Below are 16,930 nucleotides of genomic sequence, written 5' to 3'. Positions count from 1 at the left end.
TTGGCCTTTAATCAGCATGCTACTTTTGGATTTTGTCTCAAAGGAAAGCTGAGGAAAGCTTGATTTATTTCTTACAAATATATGAAAGATAACCGTGGAGTTCTGTTCAAACTGAACCACCACTCTACTCTAAAACATAGTTTAGTATTGTTTTTAATAAAAATTTAACAGAAAATTCTTTTACATGGGCAGAAGTAGGGGGCAAGCTGAGATGACCATAAATCTACATACTGACACCTCAGTTATCCCACAGTTGACAGAATGAAGAATCCTATGCTAAATAAATGTCCTGATGATTGAATTATACATATTAAACACTAAAATATTTTACTTTAGCCAGTTTTGATGAAGCTACATCTAAGATGGATTATACTTCTCCATGTCATCTTAGAATGTACTACTCTGAATCTACTATTGGTAACCTAGGTCTTTGTCATGTAACTAAGCCTTCACTGGCTAAATAAAATCCCTACACAAAATGTTAGTAACTGATTTCTTTTTTTTTTTTTTTTTTGAAAGTTTATGTTTCTTCCCTTTCTCCTCTCTTATTATCAGGCTGTCAGGTAGTTCACACTCTTCTAGCTAACTATATTGTTTATCTGCTTCATGGTTTCTAATTTTCTCTGGGTTAGAATGATTTATGATATGCTAGAATTGTTTATTCTAAGGATAAAGAAGCTTTGATGAAAAACTAACGAACTGTCTATGCTAGAATAAAACACGTGAAATCTAGTACTCAAATTTATATAATCTATATTGTGTTTGGGGTAGTTGAGTTGTCATTTTAAGCAAATATATATACAAAATCAGCACTAAGCTTGGAAAAAAACAGTAGGTAGGCAGATTTACTGACCAACCACTAAGAGGAGACATCAACAAAACATAGTGGACATAAAAACAAAGAGATACCAAAGAGCTGACACTACGATAGCTGAAATGTACACCCTTTTCTAACAAGCACAATTTTATCTAAGGAAACACTGCCCACAATTCAAATAGTTTCTGAGAGACAGGATATCATGGGCCCTCTCAAGGTGACAGAAGAAAATGGAAAGTTAAAAAAAAAAAAAAGAGAGAGAGAGAAAGACCTAATATCATATAGTGTCTTAAGGTCTTAGTTTCAGATGTTTGGTAAATTTGATGAAATCAGTGGGGATGAAATTTTATAAGTGTTATTCTATATATTTGAAGGTGAACCCCAGATTAATCCAACATGATTAAATTCAAGGTTCAGAACTTCAATAAGTATTAGAGAAATGCAAAGTGATGAATAACATACCCAGAAGCTACCTAATGTAATTAAAAGGCTCCCACATAGCCACTGGCAGTCTATCTAAAAATATTACTTGCAACATCTACAACTACACTAATTTGCTTCAGTGACTAACATTCTAGAGTCATAGCAGATGCTCATGAGGTTTTTTTTCCCCATTAAAAAAAAAATTCAAGTCATCACCACCAACAGCTCCTACAGTAAATGAAAAAATCAGACACAGAAATTAAAATAAGTTCAATTTTGTCAAAACTATCATCCCATCTTAAATCAGAATAAGAAGTAGAATAAAACTGCATTGAAAACAGATCTCTGCAGATAAGAAACAGATATGGTACTCTGCTGCAAAAGTAATTTAATAATTAGAGCTATGTTACAGAGTTCTATAAATAAGAAAGTCTGAGCCAAATACTGAACTAAATAGGAAGATTAAATACGTTACTCTCATTCAACATTTCAAACCTCATTAATATAAGTATAATTAACATAGGATACATATTTGGTAAGCAACTTAAAATCTGCTGATAGACACAGCATTCCCTAATATATTTTCAATTTAATCAAAAAAGAACGGTTATAAAGGACAATGCCTATTTTCTTCTTTTTTTTTTTTTTTTTTTTTGAGACGGAGTCTCACTCTGTCGCCTAGGCTGGAGTGCAGTGGCGTGATCTCAGCTCACTGCAACCTCTGCCTCCTGGGTTCAAGTGATTCTTCTGCCTCAGCCTCCTGAGTAGCTGGGACTACAGGCAAGTGCCACCAAATCTGGCTAATTTTTGTATTTTTAGCAGAGACGGGGTTTCACCATATTGGCCAGGCTGGTCTCGAACTTCTGACCTCGTGATCCACCCGCCTTGTGATCAGCACTTTGGGAGGCCAAGGCGGGCGGATGGCTTGAGGTCAGGAGTTCGAGACCAGCCTGGCCAACAAAGTGAAACCCTGTCTCTTCTAAAAATACAAAAATTAGCTGGGCATGGTGGGGGGCGCCTGTAATCCCAGCTACTTGGCAGGCTGAGGCAGGAGAATTGCTTGAACCCAGTAGGTGGAGGTTGCAGTGAGCCAAGATCATACCACTGCACTCCAGCCTGGGCGACAGAGTAAGACCTCCGTCTCAAAAACAAAACAAAACAAAAACTACTCTTTTTTTTACATTAAGAAAGATGCATACTACTTCTCACAGGACTTCTAACTATGCTACAGTCACTAATTTCTAATTATCTAATCAATTCATATCTTTTTAAGAATAGATCAAAAATGAAGAGCTGTAAAATAATTATCTCAAATCTGAAATTTACCATTTTCTTCTCCTGTTGTTTTCCGTTTATCTTCTTGTGAAACATGGACCAGTTGCAGAATGAGAGGTCTCCGGGTGACAATTCCAGTACCTCTGGGAAGCAGGTCCCTCCCCACCAGGCTTTCTAGCACTGAGCTCTTTCCGCTGCTCTGAAAACAGAATATATACAAGAGCAAAATGAGTTTCTTAACACATTTTTTGTTAATTCAATAAACTATATTAACAAACCAGCATACAGAATTATTTTAAAGGAAAAATTAGTGCAGAGACTATTTTTTTTTTTTTTTGAGACGGAGTTTCGCTCTTGTTGGCTAGGCTGGAGTGCAATGGCACGATCTCGGCTCACTGCAACCTCCGCCTCCCGGGTTCAAGCGATTCTCCTGCCTCAACCTCCCAAGTAGCTGGGATTACAGGCGTGTGCCACCACGCCTGGCTAATTTTTTGTATTTTTAGTAGAGACGGGGTTTCTCCATGTTGATTAGGCTGGTCTCGAACTCCCGACCTCAGGTGATCCACCTGCCTCAGCCTCCCAGTGCTGGGATTACAGGTGTAAGCCACCATGCCCGGCCACAGACTTTTTAAATGAAAGATAATTTTATTTCCTATTACATGATCTATTTGTTTTTAAGCCAAAACCAGAAAATAACAGCCCTGTTTTCCCATAATTATCCCACCTGTTTTGATACTCCACCAACCAGGTTTCAAAACCTACACAATATTGGTATATATAAAATCATGCCTATAATATGTAGTTGTTTTACTGTAAATGGGACAGTAATGCATATCTTTTTCTCTAACCTTCTATTTTTATTATTATTATTACAGTGTGTCACTCTATTACCCAGGCTAGAGTGCAGTGGTGTGATCACAGCTTATTGCAGCCTTGACCTCCCCAGGATCCGGTGATCCTCCCACATCAGCCTTCCCAGTAGCTGAGACTACAGGCACGCGCTACTATACCTGGCTAATTTTTGTATTTTGTAAAGGTGGGGCTTTGCCATGTTGCCTAGGCTTGTCTCAAACTCCTGGGCTCAAGCAATCCTCCCACCTCAGTCTCCCAAGTGCTGGGATTACAGGCATGAACCACTGCTCCTGGCCTAACCTGCTTTTATTTTTAATGTAATAATCAGGGATATTGTTCCATATCAATACATTAACTACTTCTGTGTTAATCCCAGCACTTTGGGAGGCTGAGGCGGGCAGATCATCTGAGGTCAGGAGTTCGAGACCAGCCTGGCCAACATGGCAAAACCCTGTCTCTACTAAAAATACAAAAATTAGCTGGGTGTGGTGGCACGCGCCTGTAATCCCAGCTACTCAGGAGGCTGAGGCAGGAGAATTGCTTGAACCCGGGAGGTGGAGGTTGCAGTAAGCCGAGGTCACACCACTACACTCCAGCCTGGGCATAGAGCAAGACTCCTTCTCAAAAAAAAGAAATAGCTAAAACAGTATTCTACTATGTATAAAACCAAACCCGAACTGATAAGCATTTAGATGGTTTTTGGTTTTTGCTGTTTTTAACAATGCTGCAATGAATGTGCTTATACATATAACCTTACTCACTTATCTTATTACCTCACTAGATTTAGTTCATTTAAGTTAAATTGCCGTTATTAATGAGCATACAGATTTTAAGCATTCATAGATACTGCCAGACTGCAAAGAAGAGGGAATCAAGCTATACTTCCAAGAGTTACCAGTTTGTTCAATTTGCTACAGCTCCATCAGTATTAAACATCATTGCTTTTTTTTTTTTTTTTTTTTTTTGAGATGGAGTCTTGCTCTGTCGCCCAGGCTGCTGGAGTGCAGTGGCACCATCTTGGCTCTCTGCAACCTCTACCTCCCAGGTTCAAGCAGTTCTCCTGCCTCAGCCTCCCAAGTAGCTGAGATTACAGGCGTGTGACACCACGCCCAGCGGTTTTGTATTTTTAGTAGAGACAGGGTTTCACCATGTGCGCCAGGCTGGTTTCAAACTCCTGACCTCAAGTGATCCGCCCGCCTCAGCCTCCCAAAGCATTGTTTTTTGAATCTTTGCTACTTTGATAGATGGATACCGACAGCTCATTTAAATTTACATTCCTTTATTATTAAGGTCAAGCATCCTTTTCTTTAATGGCTTTCTGTATTTCTCCTTTAGTGATCTGCTTATTCAAATGCTAGCCTTTTATATATTTCTTATTAGTTTATAATAAAGTTCTTTATCCATAATAAGTATTTCAATTTTTGTTGTTTTAAATATTTTCCAACTTTTTATTTTGAAATTTTCAATGCCACAAAAAAAGTTGCAAGAACGGTAACAGTGAATACTCATATATCTTAACATAATTCACCACTTATTAACATTTTGACACATTTACTTTATGTCTCTCTCTCCTTACATGTACACACAAAGACTTTTTTCCTTTTGCTGTCCCATTTGAGAGTTAGTTACAGAAATCATGATACTCCACTCTAAACATTGTGGCATGCATCTCCTAAGAACAAGGCCGTTCTTCTATAGAACCACAATACAATGATCACATTCAGGATTTTTTTTTTTTTTAAGAGATGGGGTCTCATTCTACCATTCAGGCTGGAGTGCAATGGCGTGATCATAGCTCACTGCAGCCTCTAACTTCTGGCCTCAAGAGACCCTCAGGCCACCTCTGCCTCCCGAGTAGCTAGGATTCCAGGAGCCAGCCACCACACCACTTACATTCAGGAAATTTAACATACATACAATACCAATATCCAATTACTAAATAATCAAAAATATCAATACTAACAGCTAATGCGATAAATAATCAAGTACTATATAAACCTCTATTATACATTTTAAAAATTTCTAAATTTGCCATTTTTCTTAAGTTTGCAATAAACTTATTTTTCTATACAGTATATTCTGTACTCTATTTTTTTCTTAGTCAAAACTTGTACTTTAAAAATTTATTTTCTACAAATGCAAAAGTCCTAATTTCATCAGTTATGTCAGACAGGGTCTGCAGGAAGCAGATGGCCCACTCAAATTAGATTAATTTAAAGAGGGTTTATTTACATAAGGACTATTTACAAAGCTGTGGGTGAGGCTTATAGGAAATCACAAGGGATAATGCAGTAACCCAGGCTAGTAACAAGAGAACAGCTCTCATCACCCCGAAGCCTAAAAGGAAGGACCAGGAGGACTAAGAGTGACACAGCCAGCCAGCCCAAGGCTCCTACATACAGAATGTATGAGATGGGGGAATCAAGACCGGGACTTTTTTTCTCCTCTTTCCTCCAATTCCCTGCCAGGGCTCCTCATTTCCACATCCAAATCAGAAGACAGACGACATAGGGGCTCATTCATGTTGTCCAGAAAGGTCCCCTATGATGGAAAACACAAATGCTGAATGGATCTGGAGAGTTAAATTGAGGAATATAAGACATGTCTGCGAAACTGCAGTTGTGATATCCAGGGTAGCCCCTCTCATTAAGTAAAACAGGGTGCTTTCCATCATTTCATTCCTGTACTCTGATACTGTACTCTGAAATAATTTTAACAACATATAGACATTTCCAGTTCTTTATATGTCTGACAAAATGTGTCCATAAAAAAAAAAAATCAAATTCTCTGATTTTCAAATTTATAGGCATAACTACTCATAATATTCTTAGAATGTTCATTTTTCTTATTTCTAATATTTTACGTTCTTTTTTTATGAGACTTTCCAAATGACTATTAAATTGATTTTATTGGCCAAATATTTTGCTGATTTTGCTTTGTAATTGATTTTTTTTAATATTGCTAATTTCTTCTTCCTGGGATTTTTTTTTCTCCTGGTGAAAGGAGGGTTTATCTGTTCTTTAAAAAAGCTCCTTGAGTTGAAACATTAGCTTTTTTCTCTATTTCAGCTACCAACACTTGCAACCCTCACCCACCCCTAACATAAACATACATTCCTCTAATCAGTCATCTCTATCTTCTTTCTTCCACACCAAGAGCTGTGGTTCTCAATGACAGTTTGTGACAGAATTAGAATAACACAATTACTTGTTTGCTTTTTATTTCATGTTACACACAGATTCTCAAAATAATAACACCAATACTACCACCACGAACATTATTACTGAAAGTAGTTTTTTAAATGTTTTGCATATAATCCCTCCATTCTCCTTCCCACCCCTTTACAGATCATATCTTCTTTCAAACCCTCATTTGGTCTTAGTTACGTGTAATACAAATCACCAGTCTTTAATGTGTCTCTAGTCATTCTGATTCTGACACCCATTCTCTAGTAGATTCCCCAGGAAGGGCTAATGGGAAAAATATTCTTCAAATTCTAGCATATTGTTTGTGACTTTTATTTTTTATATTTTTTTAGAGAGTCTCGCTCTATCACCTAGGCTGGAGTGCAATGGCATAATCGTGGCTCACTGCAGCCTCCATCTCACTGGTTCAAGCGACTCTCTTGCCTCAGCCTCCCAAGTAGCTGGGATTACAGGTACATGCCACCACACCTGGCTAATTTTTGTATTTTTAGTAGAGACGGGGTTTCACCGTGTTGGCCAGGCTGGTCTCAAACTCCTGACCTCAAAGTGATCCGCCCACCTTGGCCTCCCTACTGTCATAGGAGAAAGGAGACAATGAAATTCCATATTTAAGATAAGAAAGTGTACACCAGCCCGGTTGTGGTGGCTCACGCCTGTAATCCCAGCACTTTGGGAGGCCGAGGTGGGCAGATCACTTGAGGTCGGGAGTTTGAGACCAGCCTGGCCAACATGGTGAAACCCCATCTCTACTAAAAATACAAAAATTAGCCGGGCGTGGTGGCAGATGCCTGCAATCCCAGCTACTCAGGAGGCTGAGGTAGGATAATCACTTGAACCCGGGAGGCGGAGGTTGCAGTGAGCCGAGATCACGCCATTGCACGCCATTGGACAACAATAACAAACCTGTCTTTAAAAAAAAAAGACAGTAATCTGATTATTTTTCTTTTTTTTTTTTAGAGACACTGTCTAGCTCTGTTGCCCAGGCTGGAGTGCAGTGGTGCAATCACAGCTCACTGCAGCCTCCAATTCCTGGGCTCAATAGATTCTCCTCTCAGCCTTCCAAGTAACTTGGACTACAAGCTCACACCACCACACCCAGCGTGTGCATGCATGCGTGTGTAGACAGGGTCTCACTATATTGTGTGTGTGTGTGTGTGTGTGTGTGTGTGTGTTTGTGTGTGTGTGTAGACAGGGTCTCACTATATTGCCCAGGCTGGTCTCAAACTCCTGGGCTCAAGCGATACCCCCACCTTGGCCTCCCAAAAGTGTTGGGACTACAGGTATGAGCTACCACACCTGGCCCTGATTTTCCTTTACTTATAAAGGTAAGAGACTTTGTGACTTCTGCCTGTATGTCTGAGGATTTTTATTTTTCCTTTAAAGTCCAATAATTTTTCTAGACTATGTCTCAGTATTGGTCTACCGTGTCACTTTCTTAGGTATGTGCTGTACTCTTCCAAAATTTAGTTCCCCATCTACTTTTATTTCATTAAAATTGTCTTGTATTGTAATTTTTAGTACCCATTCTGTTCCCTTGCTATAGTTTTCTTCTTTGGGGACACCTAATATACATATGTTGGATTTTCTTTACTTGTTTCCAACGTGTCAATTTCTACAAAATTCTTTTTACATCTCTTTATTTTTAATGTCTTTCTCCTTTTCAGCTTCTTTCCCTCATAAGGTATTATCTGTTACGTTTACTTGCTCTTGTGTTCCTTCTAATTTGTCTTCATTTCTAAAATAAATTTTGTTTCATTTCATTCATTCATTCACTTAATTTATCCAAGACAAGGTCTCACTCTGTTGCCCAGGCTGGTGTGCGGTGGCACCAGCACAGTCCACTGCAGCCTCAACCTTCCCAGGCTCAGGTGATCCTCCCACCTCACCCTCCCGAGTAGCTGGGACTACACGCATACACCATCACATCCAGCTAATTTTTCTATTTTTTGTAGAGACAGGGTTTCCCCATGTTGCCCAGGCTGGTCTCAAATTCCTGGACTCAAGCGAATCCTCCTGCCTCAGCCTCCTAAAGTGCTGGGATTACAGGTGTGAGCCACCATGTCCAGCCATTTTCTTTTATTTATAATACTTCACTATCACTTAATTTTTTAATTTTTCTTATGCAAATTAATTTTTGAAATGTCTTATCATTGTAGTGTCTTCTGTCTTGCCTTTTGTCTTAATATCTCACAGTTTTTGTTTGTTTTCTAAGTATGTCTTTCTGGTGTGCTTTCATTTCCTTGTCTAAGGGGTCTTGTTTTTCTTCAAAAATTTGCATGACATTTGACAACAATCATTTCATACTGTTGACTTTTGAAAGAGGCTTGGCTCTGAATAGCTACTCTGCCTTTATACTCTAAAAATCCCTCTTGTTGTTTTCATATAGTATTCAAAAATATAGTTTCTTGCTTTCTGAGGTATCTTGGCCCTGTTTACCTCCCCTGCTTTTATCTGGACCTTCTCTTTCCTTGGTCTGTATTCTTCAGAGGATACTCAATTGTATCCTCGGTTCCTTCTTCTTGTGAGGAGTGGGCCTGGAAGGGAGCTTTGGTTAGTTTTTAAAGTTTCATGAAGGAGCGCTAGTCCCTTCAGACTTTACAACTGATCCCTTTCACTCACCCATTATCGATGTGTGCAATACCCTTCCCAAATTCCCATTTCAGCTGGTATTCTAAAATCGGCCCTTTAAAAAGCTTTCCAGTGATTGCCTTTGGGTTATTTACAATTCTCCGCTCCATCAGAAGTTCCACTGCTTCCTTCTGCTTCTTCCAGTATGGATAACAATGGTTTGTTCCCAATCTGCTGGTATTTGAGCGTTTGTAGAGAAACATAGTCAACTAATTTTCTTGTACACATTTTCTATGTGTTTTTGGTTTTCCTATCCTATTTGTTCTGTTTTAGGGGAAAGTCATATAGATATTTAGGAAACTATTCTACCACTGCTGTCATCTTCCCAGGATCCCTAATATGGATATTTAATCCACTAGAGGTATCAAGACTAATGTTTAGTCTTATAAAAGTTATTTTATACTTCAGTCATAAAAAGGAATAAGGTACCGATGCACGCTCCAACATGGATGAATCTAAAAACATTATTCTGCTAAGTTAAAGTTAGTCAGTCACAAAAGACCACATATTATTTGACCCTGTTTATATGAAATGTCCAAAATATGGCCGGGCGCGGTGGCTCACGCCTGTAATCCCAGCACTTTGGGAGGCCAAGGCAGGCGGATCACAAGGTCAGGAGTTCGAGACCAACCTGGCCAACATGGTGAAACCCCATCTCAACTAAAAATACAAAAATTACACGGGCAAGGTGGCACGCACCTGTAGTCCCAGCTACTCAGGATAGGCTGAGGCAGCAGAACTGCTTGAACCCAGGAGGCGGAGGTTGTAGTGAGCCAAGACTGTGCCACTGCACTCCAGCCTGGGCAACAGGGCGAGACTCCATCTCAAAAAAAGAGAAATGTCCAAAATAGGCAAATCTATAGCTAGAAAGTAGATTATGTGGCTGTTTAGGGACAGAGTGAAGAAGAATGGGGAGTGACTACTAATGGATACCAGGTTTCTTTCTAGAATGATGGTATATTCTAAAATTAGTTTAAAGGTGATGGAAAGGCCAGGCGAGGTGGCACATGCCTGTAACCCCAGCAATGTGGGAGGCCAAGGTAGGCAGATCACTTGAGGCCAAGGAGTTCAAGACCATCCTGGGCAACATGGTGAAACCTCATCTTTACAAAAAATAAAAAAATTAGCCAGGCAAGGTTGCACATGCCTGTAGTACCAGCTGCTCGGGAGGCTTAGACAGATGGATCACTTGAGCCCAGGGGATTGAGGCTGCAGTGAGCCATGGTCATGCCACTGCACTCCAGCCTGGGCAAGAGAGTGAGACCCTGTCTTAAAAAGAAAAGAAAAAAGAAAAGTTTAAGGTGATGGTTGTGCGACTCTATAAATATGCTAAAAAAAACACTGAATTACACATTGTAAATGGGTATGTTATGGTATAGAGTGTATCTCAGTAAAGCTGTTAAAAAACAAAATAAAGGAGAATGACTTCTTAAACAATATACAAAATGTACAAAACCACAGAAGAAAAGATAATTCAACCACAATAAAATTAAAACTTCTTTTCCTCACAGAAAAAATTCAGGGAAAACATTTGTGATCCATAAGTAACTGGTAACCAAAATGTATAAATAACTCCCACAAATCAAATTCTTAAAAATACCTAACAAAATAATGTGCAGAGATATCAACAAAAACTCACAAAACAAAACCTCAAAGAGCCAAGAAACATGATAAGATGCTCACACTCACTAGTAATCAGGAGGATGCAATAGAAACCACAATGAGGTACCATAAATTTAAAATGTGACTATAGAAAGTACAGATATAAATAAACTTCACTCTGTTGATGGGAATGTAAATTACAGCCATCCTGAGAAGCAATAGCAATATCCAATAAATATACCCTACAGTCTGGCAATTCCACTCCTTGATTCGTTAGAGAAATTCTCAAACATGAGACATTTATATGAATATCCGCAGTACCACTGTTTACAAAAACAGCTATAGCAAACACTGGGGAACACACAAATTTCAACAGGATATATTCCTATAATGGACCATTATATAGCAGTATAAGTGAACAAACTGGGATTATATGTGTGTATATAAATAAATTTCACATGACTGTGTAAAAACATATATACAGATTACAGCTACTTTGTGACTGATAGTGAGTGGAACTTCCACCTGATATATCCCTATTATACTATGAAAATGTACAAATACCTGAAATGTAAAAATGAGCCTAATGTTAAGATGGATAGGAAGGACACTGTGACTAGTTCTGTGTGGAGTTTGGTAGCACTGTGATTCATTTGATGCTTCTAGAAACCACAAAAAACTATACATTGGAGAAATTATGGACTCTGTGTTCTTATGATGACTAGTTAGTTCTGAAGCACCTGGACATTATCTGAAGACTTCATTCTTGGAATAGAAGATGACATTTCATCCCTGACTCCAGTGGAGTTCAAGTGTGAATAAAATGATATGAACTGCTTTTGTCATTTCAGAATTAGACTGAGTCACTTCTTGGAAAATATAGCTCCTAAACCCCAGTTTAGGTGCTGTTAAAATAAGTATCATCTACCTCACGGGTACTCATGGTGACTGACTCTTGGAGACTCTAGAATGCACCAAAACAAACAAACAAACAAACAAATTCCAGACATTCAAACTAAAACTTTTAACATGTTGTCGCTATTCCTGAGATCCCAGCAGGACTTCCTGGAGCCTGTGCTTAACTTGATCTCTCTGCTTAGATTTTAATTAATTTTGCTTAAATGTAAATCTTATTCTATAGAATGGAATGAGCAAAATTTTAAATAATTAAAATATATATCACCACCCAAAAAGAAAAAAAGAGAAAATGGTTATAGTATGAATGAATACAGAATTTTATAATCACAATTTCCCTAAGAACTCTATTAAACATTTCTCCATGCAGTAACATTTACTGTGACAGATTGGAATCTAATGCCAGTCTGATTCTCTTTCCCGTTTAAGAAAGCTTTTTTTTTTCCTCCCTCCTATTTCAATTTAGAAGCTTGTAGTATTCTTTTAATTTCAGAAATTTAACCAGGGTATGTCTCTTCTCTCAATATTTATGTGCAGCAATTGAGACCTGAAGATGTCGTACTTCAGCTCTGGGGAACTTTTGTCTTTTATCTGTTAGGATTATCGTTTCTCTCCTCATCTGCTCCAAGTGCTCTTAATCAATCATCTATGATCAGGCTTTTGGCTCTCTTAGCACTCACCTTCAATCTCTTATCTCTAATAAATTCCGTAACATATGTTTTTGATCTGCCTTTTTAGGACAGGTTGTAACAGACTTAATTGTGTCTTCCCAAAATTTATATGTTGAAGCCCTAACCCCCAGTACCTCGGAATGTGACTATATTTGCAGACAGGGCCTTTAAAGAGGCGATTAAGTTAAAACAAGTCCAGCCGGGCACGGTGGCTCATACCTGTAATCCCAGCACTTCAGGAGGCCAAGGCGGGTGGATCACGAGGTCAAGAGATTGAGACCATCCTGGCCAACATGGTGAAAACCCAACCCCGTCTCTACTAAAAATACAAAAATTAGCTGGGTGTGGTGGCACGTGCCTATAGTCCCAGCTACTTGGGAGGCTGAGGCAGGAGAATCGCTTGAACCAGGGAGGCAGAGGTTACAGTGAGCCGAGATCGCGCCTCTGCACTCCAGCCTGGCGACAGAGCGAGACTCCATCTAAAAAAAACAAGGCTACTGGGGTGCTGGGCCCATAATCCAAACTGACTGACATTCTTACAAGAAGAGGAAATTTAGACACAGAGACACCACGGACACAGCAAGAAGGCAGCCATCTACGAGCCAAGGAAAAAGGCCTCAAAAGAAACCAAACCTGCTGACACTTTGATCTTGGACTTCTAGCCTCCAGAACTGTGAGAAAATAAACTTCTGCTTTTTAAGCTACCCAGTCTGTGACATTTTGTTATGGCAGCCCTAGCAAACTAATACAGAAGTTACAAACTCAACTGCGCACACATGCAATGAATAAAATCAATCCAGACTTTGGTCAAAATGACATCAGAATGTCAACCATACTTCAGTAAAGTGATTTTTTTAATGCCATCAGATTGTATTCTGACATTTTGTACATGAAAATAAGAACATTTCTATACATCTGCCCCAAAATGCTCATTTTTCTTAAAATGTACAGCCATTTTAATCAGTAGTAATGGCTAACATTAATCGAACATACTACATTGCTACTACCATTCCAAGTGATTTACCTCATTTAAGTCTAACAACTCTATGAGATGGTTACTATTTAATTCTCACTTTATATATGAGTTAGCTGAGTTTTAGAAAAATTATGTAACTTGCCCAGATATAATTAGGTAACAAGTAACAGGGATGAATTATAACCCAGTAGTCTTCAACTTTCCCACTTTTGATGCAGATGTAGAAGTAGGAAATATTTCATTGCTTATTTTACACTATAAAGAAAGACAGCACATATATGATGATAACTGGCAACCAGGGAAGGCAACTGGGAGCAATAGGAGCTGTGGCTAACTAGATATTAACTGACCCACCTAAAGCAGGCATTATTCAAATCCACTGGGAATATGGGTTAAGGGTTATCAGATTTTCTGATTTTTTTAAGGCAAAACCAGAAATCTGGGCCTTTCAACTAAATCTACCAATTTTTAAACATTGGCAACTAATTCATTTATTTTTAATACTGTATGTGTCAACACACACAGACTAAATGAAACACATCTGTGGGCTCCCAATGTTTTACCTCTCATCTAGATTCACTACTATAAATGGTACTGGCTTCTTCAACAATTGGTTCTATCAGTGCTTTTTCCCCCACCTGGTGATTTAAACATCCCATGTCTGGGTTCTTCCCAGAAAGTCGAGTAGCTACAAGAGTTCTAAAGTGGCAAAAATCACAGCTAGCTTGTTCTGAAAATCGGGCTCCACTGGCACTACAAGGCCTTCAGATTTTTTTCTCCACAAACTCCCAAAGCTGATTCAATAACCTGTATTATATTTACGAGCTAAAGATTTGTGTGCCTGGTCTCAGTGTCATCTTTTAGTTTTAGTTTCTTCCAAACTGCACTGTATTGGGATTTTTAGTGTTTTGAATTTATATTTTGAAATGTGGCCTTTCATGGAAAAGGTTTTGTTGTATTTTCAGCTCTTCCCTAATAATCAGCATCAGTTGGGGTTGAGGAGTTAATAATGTTCATTCATACCACATTAACCAAAGCTGATCCCTTATTCAACTTCTAAGTTTTAATTTTTCATTGTGTAAGGCAGACCTCTCAATTCTTTATTTTGATATTAATATAGTAAACATATATGTCTCAATATTTTACTTTTTATTTTGAAATAATTTTAGATTTACAGAAGGTTTCCTTATATATTTGCTTCACTTATTTAAATAAAATATTTCTAAGAGTGTCCTTAGAAATGTTAATCTTATGGTATTTAAAACAGCTAAACTACGCCGGGCCCAGTGGCTCATGCCTGTAATCCCAGCACTTTGGGAGGGTGAGGCGGGCAGATCACCTGAGGTTGAGACCAGACTGACTAACATGGAGAAACCTTGTCTCTACTAAAAATACAAAATTAGCCAGGCGTGGTGGCGCATGCCTGTAATCCCAGCTACTCGGGAAGCTGAGACAGTAGAATCACTTGAACTCAGGAGGCAGAAGTTGCAGTCAGCCAGGATCACGCCATTGCAATCCAGCCTGGGCAACGAGAGCGAAACTCTGCCTCAAAAATAAAATAAAATAAAATAGCTAAACTACAATGTTTCTACCATATAGCTCAAACCCTCTACCTAATGACAAAATATAAATATGAAGTTTAAACCACTTCATAATTTGTAGTTAATATGTGGGGTGTTTTTTGTTCTTAAGAGACCAGGTCTCACTATGTTGCTTAGGCTGGAGTGCAGCAGCTATTCACAGCACAATCACAGTGAACTACAGCCCTCAACCTCCTGGGCTCAAGCAGCCTTGCCACCAGGTCTCCCAAGTAAAAGGGACTACAGGCACAGGCCACCACACTTGGCTTAAAAGAGTGTTCTTATATGAACTTAATACCCAAAATCCAAACTTTCTAAAATACTGCAGACCTAACAGTCCTTAGGAAGGAATTTTTTCTTGGTTATAAAACTATAGGTCCAGTGCTTTCTAGATCACTAAGAGAGAGATTCAGATATCTGATAAGGCAGAATTATCGTCTGTGAAAATCCCCACTTCTTCCATAAAAGCATGAAAAAGTGATATGAATCTACACATCCAAGAAGCTCGATGAACTCAAAGCAGGATAAACACAAAGAAATACACACATTGAGATAAATTATAATCAAACTGTTGAAAGACAAAGACAAATGCTAAAAGCAGCAAGAGAGAAGCTAAGAGTCATGAACAAGGGATCCTCAGTAAGACTAACAACAGATACAACAGACTTCTCATCAGAAACCATAGGGGCCACAGCAGCTCTGCCTATGGAGTAGCCATTCTTTTATTCCTTTACTTTAATAAACTTGTTTTCAAAGAAAGAAAAGAGAAAAGAAACCATAGGAGCCAGAGGCAGTAAGATAAAGTGCTAAAAGAAAAAACCTCCCCATCAAAAATTCTAACTTAAAATGGTTAAGATGCCAATAAAACCTGAAGCAACCTATAGAGGCAACACAATCCCCATCAAAATCCCAACTGTCTTGTTTACAGAAATGGAGAAGCCAAATCTAAAATTCATACGGGGCCCACACAGTGGCTCACGCCTGTAATCCCAGCATTTTGGGAGGCCAAGGTGGGCAGATCACCTGAGGTTAGGAGTTTGAGATCAATCTTGCCAACGTGGTGAAACCCCATCTCTACTAAAAAAACAAATATTAGCCAGGCATGGTGGTGGGCACCTGTAATCTCAGCTACTTGCAGCCTGAGGTGGTTGGATCGCTTGAACCCAGGAGGCAGAGGCTGCAAGTGAAACGAGATCACGCCACTGCACTCCAGCCTGGGCGACAGAGTAAGACTACCTCTCAAAATAAAATAATATAAAATAAAATTCATATTGAATGACAAGGGACCCCAAACAACCAAAACAATTTTGAAAAAGAAAAACAATGCTGGTAAAGTTACACTTCTCAAATTTTAAATATACTCCAAAGCTACAGTAATCAAAGCAGAATAGAACTGAGAATCCAGAAATAAACCCATATAATAAATCTTTGGCTGGCCAGGCATGGTGGCTCATGCCTGTATTCCCAGCACTTTGGGAGGCCGAGGTGGATGGATCACCTGAGGTCAGGAGTTCAAGACCAGCCTGGCCAACATGGCAAAACCCCGTATCTACTAAAAAAAAATACCAAAAAAAATAGCCCGGCGTGATGGCAGGTGACTGTAGTCTCAGCTACTTGGGAGGATGAGGCAGAAGAATCGCTTGAACTCAGGAGGTGGAGGCTGTAGTGACCCAAGACTGCATCATTGCACTCCAGCCTGGGTGACAGAGTGAGACCCTGTCTCAACAACAACAACAAAATCTTTGCTCAACTGATTTTCAACAATGCCAAGACTATTCAATGGGGAAAGAACAGTCTCTCCAACAAATGGTACTAGGTCAACTGGAGAAGCACGTGCAAAAAAAATGAAATGAACCCCTACCTCATACCATACCAAGATGTACTCAAAATGGATCAAAAGCCTAAATATACAAGCCAAAACTATAAAATAATTAGGGGAAAAAACATTAAAAAATAAAAAAAAATCTTCACGGCTTTGGATTTGT

The 16,930-nt window shown here is 39.0% G+C and overlaps 1 protein-coding gene across 9 annotated transcripts in view; it reads right to left on the bottom strand.

The window, feature by feature from the left end:
- Window positions 1-16,930, bottom strand: part of DNM1L (dynamin 1 like) — a 66,350-nt gene that overhangs the window by 41,522 nt on the left and 7,898 nt on the right. For all 9 annotated transcript variants that reach the window (NM_001278464.2, NM_001278465.2, XM_011520543.4 and 6 more), the window contains exon 2: window positions 2,567-2,714. In NM_001278464.2, the coding sequence (NP_001265393.1) occupies window positions 2,567-2,714 (148 nt within the window). The remainder of the gene's footprint in view (window positions 1-2,566; window positions 2,715-16,930) is intronic.

Source organism: Homo sapiens, chromosome 12 (assembly GCF_000001405.40).
Source record: "Homo sapiens chromosome 12, GRCh38.p14 Primary Assembly".
NCBI lineage: Eukaryota > Metazoa > Chordata > Mammalia > Primates > Hominidae > Homo > Homo sapiens.
Note: the sequence above shows the minus strand (reverse complement) of the source record. Positions and strands in the feature narration are given on the sequence as shown.